Source organism: Homo sapiens, chromosome 7 (genome assembly GCF_000001405.40).
Source record: "Homo sapiens chromosome 7, GRCh38.p14 Primary Assembly".
Classification (NCBI taxonomy): Eukaryota; Metazoa; Chordata; class Mammalia; order Primates; family Hominidae; genus Homo; species Homo sapiens.
Window position 1 is genome coordinate 30,468,484 of NC_000007.14, and position 10,870 is coordinate 30,479,353.

Genomic DNA, 10,870 nt, shown 5'->3' on the forward strand with positions numbered 1-10,870 from the left:
TTTAACCAGAAAATGCCATCTCTGGTAAAGTCACAACCTGCCATACACAACATGGGCTTCTCAGACATTCTGCCCACCACCATCCTGGACAATAGGAATAGATAACTGATATTCATTTATTGAATGAACTAAGTTAAAGCCATCATTCCCTGCCTACCTCATGTAGGTACCTGCCTACCTCAGAGGTGATATAACCCAGATTGCAAATGTCAATTAGAGTGGGCTCCACCAACCCCCAACATAACTGGCACACATATACCCATGAATGGGGACCACATCTGAATTCTCCTTTAGGAAATGACTTCTCTTGAATATGATTCATTTTGGTGAATTTAATCCACAGGCTCCACAGTTTTACAAGTAAAGAAGATAATTATACTCTAGTTGTTGACATGAACTGCTTGGATGTTCAGGGTTGTGGTGATGACGTGAACAACAGACTTCTTCACTCTGCAAGTTACCCAACAGCAAGCTGGGTGGATGAAGCCATGCCAACAGCATCTGGCAGGAGCCAGCACCAAGCACACCTTACACAGCTTCGACAGAGCTGCACGGAGAACACATATGCTTGGTCAGCTCAAATGGTGTCCTACTTTTCCTGCTGCATGATCCACAACAATCTGTGTTCTGTTGTTGTCTGTTTGTTTTTCTTGCTTGGTTTACAATTTCTTAAGGAACTTAACCTGGAAAACAAGCCCGGTCATGTGGGCCTCTGCCATGCCAGAACACTATAGGCAGCCGACTCTGGAGACAATTTAGCAGATGGATGAAGCTACAATTATTATTGGAAGCTTTTTAACTCCATTGACACTCACTGACTTTAAGTATCTGAAAGCACTTAATCCCTCAGAATTTGAAAGCAGATGGAAGTCAGTCCCTCCCGGAATCACCTCTCTCTCTCCCGGCTTCCTTCCCCTCCCTACTCCCTCTTCCCTCCCTCTAGCTCCCTCTGTCTCTCATACAAAGTACCTTATAGTGTGAGCTCCAGACACACAGACACTGCCATCCTGCCTACAAAGAAAGGAATGCAGACACAGCCAACGTCAGCATTCGGGGTGGGACCACAGTGGAACGCATACATCCTTTCACAGCTGCCAAGGCCTTCTGGGAAGTCCAATGCCTGCCCCCACATCTCTCAGAGCCAAACATCTTCTTCTGGTCAGGAAACCCTGTTCAGAGTGCACAGAGAGCCAGCTCCTCCCTTCTCTGCTGAAATCCTGGGCTCCTGAGGTCAAACAGAATGTTGTCCAAGCCACCTATTTTAGAGATGGGAAAACAGAGGCCCTGGGCAGGGCCCTGGACTTGTCCGGATCAATCAAAACTAGCATCCAAGTCTCCTGGCTGCGAGACAGTTGCTTCTTTTGTCTACTTCTGGCCAGAGTAGCCTCCTCAGTAGCCAAACATTTCCTCCATCCCCCCAGCGGGGATGTCACCTGTCAGAATGGGAAAAGGGTAGGGTTCCCACCTTACTCTGTTTCTCCCCTAAGCCCATCTCTCCCTGCTGGGAAGGCCCATGGTATTCTATCCCCGCCTCTCTCAGAGGGCGTGCAACTTTGTGTCCTAAGTTGATTATTTTCCTTTCACATTGGTTGGTAGTGGCAGTGAAGGACACAGACTCTAAAGCCAGGCTATCTGGTTCCAATCACCAGCTATGTGACTTGGACAAATAATGCTCTCTTCTGTGCTTCTGTTTTCTTCTCTGTAAGTACAGATAATAACTGCACCTACTCCATGTAGGGATCTCTGTGAGCATGCAGTGAGTTAATACACGTACATACGGTATTTAGAACAGCACTGGTCACATAGTAAGCACCGGCCGTGACCTACAAGAGGGCAGCCTAGGCCAGCATTTCCATCTGTCATCTTCAAGGCCAGCACTGATGACAAGGGAGGGCGACCATCTGGTGAGTCACCGTATCTCCAGCACATAGAGGGTGCTCGATAGGAACCGTCGAATGAATGAATCTGGCCGGGTGCACTGCGTATAGCAGGTGCTTCATCATGTCCACTGATACGTGGATTTCCATAATTCACAGGCTCACTTAGGGAATGTCACTTACCAAGTTTATTGGTGAATAAATTCAACTTTCCATCACCAATAGTTTCTGTTGCTCTAAGGCATTTATCTTCGCTGCTGTCTTTAAAAGGTTAACCAGAGCCCAGCTGTCAATGTCAAAAGCATTGCCTGTGCGACCACTTGGTACTTAATCACCTACTGCTTGACATTTTCTTGGTTTTATCCAGGCTTTGAAAAACAAAGTTCCCAAAACACTGCACTTGATATTCATCTCTGAGGGGCCAGTGAATAAAAATATCTTAATGAAGAAAGCCAGCAGAAAACAACAGAGCCTTGAAGTGGAAACCGGTTTCCTGGAACTCCACTCTGCGAGAGGGCTGAAGTGTTTATGCAGAGGAAAGTGCCACAGAAGTGGCCGATCTGGAAGCTGGAGGACATCTGGATATGGCATTTAGGACTGACACAGAAAGTGTCTGGGGCTTATCAAGTGAAAAGCACTCCACAAGAACAAAATATATTAGTCACCACCAAAGTGGGAGTTGAAACCGGGCCCACAGCAAATAAACACTCTGCTGATCGCTGGCCAAAATGCTTAGCTGAAGACGTTTATTAACCCCATTGAACATGTATACAGAGTCAGCAAGCATCTAGGACACAAACCTGTCACAGAGCTAAGTGGGAGAGTACCCAGGGATTTATGTGTGGTGACCCTGAGTGGCATTAAGAGGTTGAGAAGATGATAGAGCCATAACCCCTAAAGCATCTGCCCCAGACACTGCACCCCTTGGGCCAGGACTGCTCTCTTCCCTCACTAAGTGAGGTCCCATGTTAAGCAGAAGGCCTGCCCAACCAGCCGAGATACACCTGGCCTGCAACACATCTGGCACTGCAACCTCATGACCGCTTCACAGCAAGGAAGGAGAAACAGGGTCAGTGCAGATGCCTGGAAGCAGCCAGCATGCAGTGCTAAGGATGTGGGTCCCACACAGTGGAGGCTTTTCCTGTGACCTGAAAACACCCAATAAAGAATTTTGTTTTTACCAAACCCTGGGTCTCTCAAGTGCACACAAATGATGAATTCAGATTTTCAAAGGTGAACAGAGCTGGGAAGGCACCCTCTTTGGGATTTCTGGGCAACAGCTAGGCGGAGCAGAACAGACTAGCGTGAAAAACTGACAGCCCTTCCCATAGCCAGGGGGCCCTGACATTTGGTGCCTACAGATTCTGACCCCCTGACCTGTACATGCCCAACCTCCCTCCACTCTTCGGGGTCTTTTGTTCCTGTTTCTAAAGAGCCAGGAAGGACTGGACTCCACCCTAGTCCATCCACTGAAGCTCCTGATGAAGGATGCCGGGTGCCTAGGAGGCCCATATGCATTTACACTCATCTGTCCCAGAAAACTACAGAGCATGTGCCGTGGGCTGGGCAGGCCTGGTTCCAAATCCTGCCTCTGCCTTCTTTCACTTTGTTTTGAGCCTCAGTTCCCTCATCTGGAGATTGAAAACTAGACACTCCAGAATTGTTTCACACACTAAGACAAGGTTTATATAGCTTAAGAAGTAGAGATTGTTCATTATCTGAATAAATAGAAGTGACTAATGATCTTTTTCTTGTATATTATGAATGACAGGAAAAAGTCAGGAGGGGAAATTCCTCCAAAGCTTCCCTCCGCACTTCAGAATAAAATCCCAAATCCTTACCCAGCCCAGGAGGCCCTACTTGGCCTGAGTGTGTCTCATTATTTAGCTCTGTACCCTCCTGGGCTTGGGCCTTACCACACCAGCCACTCAACACACCCACATCCTTCCCATTCACCTCTGGGTCTTTGAACCCACTGTTCTCTGCATCCAGCATGATTTCACTCTTTTTTTCATCCCAAGTCCTAGTTGAAAAGGCTCATTCCTTGAGAGGCGTCCCCAGACTCTCCTAATTCTAGTTCTGCTCTGATCTCCTGTCTCATGACATGCTGTTGTTTTCACTTAAAGCACTTTCCACAAGTTACAATTATGTATTTACCTGTGTGCTTACTGCCCTAACCTCCTACTTATGGACTGATGTTTATGTCCCTCCAAAGTTCACATGGTGAGGGAGAACCCCCGATTTGATGGTGTTTACAGATAGGGCTGTTGGGAGGTGAATAGGTTTAAATGAGGTCGTGGGGGTGGAGCCCCAATGATGGGATTAGTGCCCTTATAGCAAGAGACATGAGAAACCTCTTTCACAAATCAGGAAGAGGGTCCTCACCAAACTCCCATGCTGGCAACCAGGTCTCACACTTCCAGCCTGCAGAACTGTGAGAGATAAATGTTTGTTGCTTAAGTCCCCCAGTCTGTGATAGTTTTAGCAACCCAAGCTGACTAAGACATCCTCTCCACCCGGCAGCCTCCAAATTCCATATGGCCAGAGGCAGGGTCTGTTTCATTCATTGCTGTAATCCAAGTACTTAGTAGACTCCTGGCACCAGCAAGACTTTCTGATAATATTTGTTGAATTAACATGTTGCAGAATTGAAGCCCCAAAGTGCCAGAAGGAACCAAGAGCTATAAATAGCTTTCTAACAGCCTTCCACACCAGGGTAGGGGGCCAGCAGAGCACTTCACACACACAGAAAGCCAGAAAAGCAATTACTACCTCATTATCAGGAATGCTAAAGAAGCCACACCTCACTCAACTGAGAATTTGCCTTTCTGGGCCCCCAAATTCCACTGACCCAGACCTCAGGGAAGATTGCCAGAACTCAAGAAGAGGCCAAAGCCACTGGGGTAAAGGAGAGGGAGGATGAGTAAGGAATGTCAGAAAAGGTGGTGTACTTAGAACAGACCACTGCACCTTTGATGTAATATTATTTTCAATACTGTTGCTGTCCACCTGAGTCTCAACCTGGGATCTCCTAGGCCTGGTTTCTGTCTTCCAAACACCCCCCACATCTGTCTGGGTGAAGGCATGTTTTATTACACACAGGCTAACAATCTCAGTGCATCGAGATGACATTTATCTCAAAACTAACATTGCAACCCACTCTAATAATGTTAGTCAATATCGGTATCAGATTTTTTTTTCCAGTTGATATTAACCAGCCTAAGCAATGGATGAGGTTTAATGTTATCTGGAAGTGGGAGGAGGCGACAGGAGGAGTGAGCTGCCACTTTCACTTCCTAAGTAAGCTGCTCTTTGGAAGCAGGGGCTCTGTTTCCAGAAATATGGCCCTACACAGAGCATAAGCACATCTGACTGTTAATGGCAGGAGATGGGCATCAGGAGGTAGGTAGAATAAGCAGGGGTGGGGGTACTCACTGAGCAGCTGGGGCAGTGGTTAAGAACAGGGACTCTGCTTCAAGTCCTGGGATAGACTTTGGGCTAGTTATTTAATCTTGTTGAGCCTCAGTTGTCTCCTCTATAAAACAAGGGAAATGATAACCACTGCACAGGGGCGCTGGGAAGATAAAATGAGCTAAAAACAAACAACAAAAACCCTAAACTCTTAGACCAGTGTGGGACACAGGAAGTCTATGTAAATGCTATTCTTATTTAGGGTCTACCAGATCAGGCCTGTCATCATTTCATTTAATCAAATCAAGCCTCAAAGCAATCTTTCCAGATAGGTAGAGTTAGCCCATTTTACAGATTCAAAAGCCAAGGCTCAAGAAGATTAAAAACCTTATCTGAAGTCACACAACTAGGAGAAGGAAAGACCAGCCCTGGAACCAAAGTAATCATCATAATCTTTATCATCATAATCATGACTTACTAGAAGCTGGGTGATGTGCTAAGCACTTTACATAGATTAGCTCATCAAATACTGAAAACTGCCCAGCAAGGAAAGCATTATTGTAACTAGTTTACAAAGGAGGACACAGAGTTGGAGTGGTTAAGTATGTTGGTGAAGGTCACACAGTTAGTTAAGGCAGTGATCCCCAACCTTTTTGGCACGAGGAACTGGTTTCATGGAAGACAATTTTTCCACAGACAGCGGCGAGTAGGGGCACAGGGGAGATCGTTTTAGGATGAAACTGTCTACCTCAGATCATCAGGCATTAAATTCTCATAAGGAATGTGCAGCCTAGATCCCTCGCGTGTGCGGTTCACCATAGGGTTCCCCTCGCATGAGAATCTGATGCCACCGCTGATCTGACAGGAGGCAGAGTTCAGGCGGTAATGCTTGCTCACTGCTGCTCACCTTCTGCTGTGCGGCCCACCTAAGAGGCCACCGACTGGTATTGGTCCATGGCCTAGGGATTGGGGACCCCTGAAGTAAGGAATAAAACAGGAATTGGATCCTGGTTCTGACTCCAAAACCCATTGTTTCTTCCATTTCAGCCCTGCATGTCTGGTATACTTTATAGACCCAACATCTCTATTTGAAATCATCAACACGCCTGTTTTCATATTAAGTATGAAACACTAGCTTTGTTAAATGGAGTCCAGAAATGACCCACTCACTGAAGGGGCCTGTGTTGTAAGGAGTTAGGATATCCCCTGCCAAAAAAGCCTAGCTTTCCCCCAGTTCCTTCCAAGAAGGTTTGGTTTTGAGGTCATAGGCAGCAATCTGGGCATGTGTTACAAGAAGCAGGGGAAGTTCTTACTCATTAGACTTTTAATCTTTTGGGAATTAGAAAACGAATACTCTCCCAAGTAAATCATCATCTGCTCTCAGCTCTGCTATCATGTAAGGCGTTTCCTTAGCAATATGTGACTGCCAGGCCCAGTTGCATGTGGCTCTGAAAATATCTACCAAATGACTACATTCTCCCAATTCTGACCCTAACCTGTATGGTGGCAATGACAGAACAGAAGGCCAAGGGACATCAACTTTCTGAAACAAATGTAATCAAGGTGAATGTTCATGTTTTATTAAAATCTTAATCTGCCAAAATCTGGCACTAATCTGGTGCTCACTTTGAAATTATCTGGGCCCTTACTACAGTGCTCTATAATTTAGAGGAAAAGGACGCTTCAGTAAAACAAATTCTAAAGTGGCAGTTTACTGGAGAGTAACTTTTAATTTCCATGCAGTATAATACAAAATTGCCTTGTTGGCTCTAAGGACGTGCATCCCTCATCAGGGAACTCTGCCCCATTAGAGGACCAAGGTGAGATCCCTTCAGAGTGGCATCATCCCCGGTTGGCTCAATGGCTCCAGAGACAGGGAGGATGGCGAAGAGAAGGGCCGGTGGCATGCCTGCCTTAGCCAACTCTGCACAGGAATCTCTGCCCACAGTTTGGACTGTGGCAGTTCCAGATAAAACACATGTTTAAATAAGAGTTCAAGCCAGGAAGTCTTGCCTGAATGAACTTTCTAGCGTGGGTAAAAAATGTCAGCTAACTGACATGCCAGTGACTACTCACCTCTCACCACAAGAGTCAAGTTTAGAAACAACACTTGCCCTCAACGAGTATTTGATGCGCTAAAGAGTTTTTCCAGAAACCAGGTCAGACCTTTTGGATAAATCAAAGGAGGCCCCTTGTGTGACATGCAACTGACTGTCCCTAGAAGATAAAAGAAAATGGGACTTCTGAAAACTTGCAAAATACCTAGAGCCTCTGCATGACAAAAATTCAGCATAAGTACACATTTTAGCTTTTCTAATTTCTTCTTGCCTAAAAAAAATCCCCCCAATAATAAGAATGATAGAAGAAACTAGTAACTTAAACCTTAAATCCTACGTTCATATCTTAGATTTTGAACAAATATTGAATCCTTTTCTTTGAATAAGAGATAAGACTTTGATAGTCTTGTGTAAGCAAATATCAGTGATCACACATACACTAGAAAAACACTTGATCTTTATGCCTATATTACTTACTGTTTCTATTTCTGATGTCTAATCTAAACAGCACTGCTGTTAGGATCAAAGTGACCATCCATGATGCACAGAGCACGTACCAGGGTAAAGTTCCAGCTGGGACGCAGGCATCAGCAATTGTAGAATTTGGGTTCTCCCTTCCTCAGATCCCTGACTGTCCTTGGTCATTCAAGAAAGATTCACTGTCCCTAGGCCAAGAGTCAGGAGCAAAACAGGAACACCAAGGGTATGGTCTGAGGATGTTGTCAGCAGGGAGCAACGTGCGTGTGTGTGCACATACACTAATTCTGAGACACTGTGCACAGCCCAGCTTTCTTGGAAAGCCATTTAAAAGATATATATGTGGCAACAGAGAGGAGGAAGTCTCAAGATTAAGAACAGCTTTTGAGTGTGTGTGTGTCAAAATATTCATTCCTATCACATGCAGTAAAACTGTATTCCAGAGCCATTAATACGCCCTGGGGGACTGAGGGGATTTGCAGCCTAAGATTTCAGACTTAAAGCCCGCTAAGGCCCTGAGCGGGGCAGCAGGGCAGGAGAAGGAATGGAGCGTTGAAGGGAACATTTTATAGACATTCTCCCTCATAGTGGCTGTACTAAGTAAACAATTAACGGGCACAAACTGCCACTCCAGTGTCTAATAACTACCTCTGCCAGAGCACCTGCCAGCGCCACCACCTTCCAGGTGTGTGATGCACATCATCTCGCTGAACTATGCTAGCCTCAGGAGAGGGTTGCTCTTTATTTTACAGGTGGGAAAACAGGGGCTTGGAGAGGTCAAGGAACTTGCCCAAAGTCACAGCATAGAAGTGACAGAATCCGAGTTTTGACCCAGATTTGATGGGTTCCAAAGCGTGAACTTATTTCTCCACTCCACAAAAATAAAACCTACTCTTCTTACAATATTTGAAAGAGCCCTCTTCTACCACTCTGCTGTTTGTTTTAAACACAGCTTGCTTATCTGTCTGGCATATTCGGTAGAAGTCTGTACTTTGTCAATGCCTGGTTTGCCTGGATTTCAGCTACCTGGCCCCTGGCATCTAAGCCTGGGTGAGAACAGGGAATCCACTCCTCTCTAAGATGCATCGTGGAGTTACTCTTTTACTCTTCCCTGAAAGTGATAGTTCAATCTTCAACAGGGGCTTTGAGGGAGAACAAACTCGACCCTTTGGCAAGCACGACTTCTGGCTTCACCGTTTTTTTGTTTTTTGTTTGTTTGTTTGTTTTTGACGGAGTTTTGCTCTTGTTGCCCAGGCTGGAGCGCAACAGGGCGATCTCGGCTCACTGCAACCTCTGCCTCCCGGGTTCAAGCAATTCTCCTGCTTCAGCCTCCCGAGTAGCTGGGATTACAGGCATGCGCCACCACGCCCGGTTAATTTTTTTTTTTTTTTTTTTTAGTAGAGACGGTTTCACCATGTTGGGCCAGGCTGGTCTCGAACTCTCGACCTCAGGTGATCCGCCTGCCTTGGCCTCCCAAAGTGCTGGGATTACAGGCGTGAGCCACCGCGCCCGGCCCTGGCTTCACCCTTAAAGCAGAAAGGCCAGAAGTCATCAAGGCCATGGGTTTACTAGCTTAGCTTCCCCAGACTTAATTTCAAACACCAACAACCGAAATGTTTCCTAGAATGCAGAGCTAATGAGACATCAACCTCTGTCATTTCCTATGTTTTTCACAATGTGCCAAAACAACTGCACACATTGGAGGCGTTTTTGAATGTGATATTCAGGCGACCTTGCCAAGCATTGTCTCATTTCCTTACTTTGTGGAGCATGAAACCCAAGGGAAGTTCTCACCCTCTCTCCAGGACCAAGCAGGACACTGGGAGCTGCTGTCCCGTCTGCAGGCGGGACTCCATGAAGGCCCCTGTCTGCCCTTCCAGCCTTTGCCACAAACCCTCGAACGCTGGCTGCACACTGGAATCACTTGGGGAGCTTTTAAAAGATACGGAGGCCTGGGTCTGACTCCGTGAGATTCTGATGGAATTGATCTAGGGTGCAGCCTGGATATCTGGATTTTAAAAGCTCCCCAGGTGGTTCTAAGCTGCTGGCACGATTGAGAACCCCTGCGTTCGACCACAGTGGGATAAACGATTCCGCTGACTGTGAAGTTCATCCCTCTCAACTTTCGCTACATGCTTCAAACTCGCGGGTTTCTCCGCTTGGTTCCACCCAGAGCTCCTCCAGAGCCGCGCTGCGTTCCGCCCGCACGCAAATCCCGCCTCCCTGCGCCTCCTCACTCGCAGCGCCCAGGACCTCAGAAAGGGCCTGCCCCGCGCGAATCCCCAGTCGCTGGGACTTACTTGGCCACCAGGTTTACAGACTTCGCAGCCGCTGAGAGCTAGAGAAGAGCCCGGAGAGCGCCATGGTCCGGGGACGCCGGGGCCGGGAAGCGCCGTGGCCCGGGAGGACGCTGCTCCCGCAGTAGCGCGAGGGAGGGGCAGGACCGGGGCGGCTGCCTCGCGGGCCCGGAACGGGAACTGGCTGCGACTACAGCCGCAGCCGCGCCCCTCTGTTGGCGCGCCCAAGAGCCTGCCGGCTGCTGGGAGAGGCCGCCGAAGGGCGGGGGCGGTCAAGGCAGGGTCCCACGGTGCTGCCATTCGCCCGGGTCTGGCGCGGGGGGGCGAGAGAAGCTGCGCGCAGAGGGACGCCCGGTGCGAGAGGGTGAGCCCCTGGCCACCGCGCAGGGCCGAGTGGACAGGCCCAAGTTCGCCCAGAGGTGACACACTTGGGAATTTGTGGTGCCATCGTGCCAGGTCCCTCCTCGTAAAAGTGCCTACCCAGCGCCTGCAACCAGAGCCAAAGCCTGGACATGATAGGGAAACTCTTGTTAAAACGCGACACGTGGTCCTGATGAAATGGAGGTTAACGTAATCAAATTTAAATTACACTGCATACATTTCAATTTATACTTTTTAAAAAATGTAAGCTTTTCTTCCTATCCTTAAATTTGTTCTTGGCAGTGTACATTTTATGTTCTATGCATATGCTCTAATAGGTTGTAAAAGAGTTTTAACATGCTAATAAATGTCCCCAATAAAATAGTTTTAA

General features: G+C 47.4%; 1 protein-coding gene across 33 annotated transcripts in view, besides 2 other annotated features; it reads right to left on the reverse strand.

The window, feature by feature from the left end:
• NOD1 (nucleotide binding oligomerization domain containing 1) overlaps window positions 1-10,301 on the reverse strand; it is a 54,258-nt gene extending 43,957 nt beyond the window's left edge. For 25 of the 33 annotated variants that reach the window (NR_149002.2, XR_007059981.1, XR_926910.2 and 22 more), the window contains exon 1: window positions 10,123-10,301. The gene's annotated coding sequence lies outside the window, so the exon portion shown is untranslated. Of the gene's footprint in view, window positions 1-7,364; window positions 7,506-10,122 lie in introns of all 33 variants that reach the window. The other 8 variants (XM_047419758.1, XM_006715633.3, XM_047419767.1 and 5 more) reach the window with 1 other exon arrangement.
• Window positions 9,797-10,541: an enhancer, noted in NCBI's record as "H3K27ac hESC enhancer chr7:30517896-30518640 (GRCh37/hg19 assembly coordinates)". NCBI's record gives its function as "activates a minimal SCP1, AML or CMV promoter by ChIP-STARR-seq in primed H9 embryonic stem cells {active_cell/tissue: H9 hESC(primed)}" and the evidence as "EXISTENCE:reporter gene assay evidence [ECO:0000049][PMID:30033119]".
• Window positions 10,190-10,429: a silencer, noted in NCBI's record as "silent region_18067". NCBI's record gives its function as "represses an Ori minimal core promoter by ATAC-STARR-seq in GM12878 lymphoblastoid cells {active_cell/tissue: GM12878}" and the evidence as "EXISTENCE:reporter gene assay evidence [ECO:0000049][PMID:35858748]".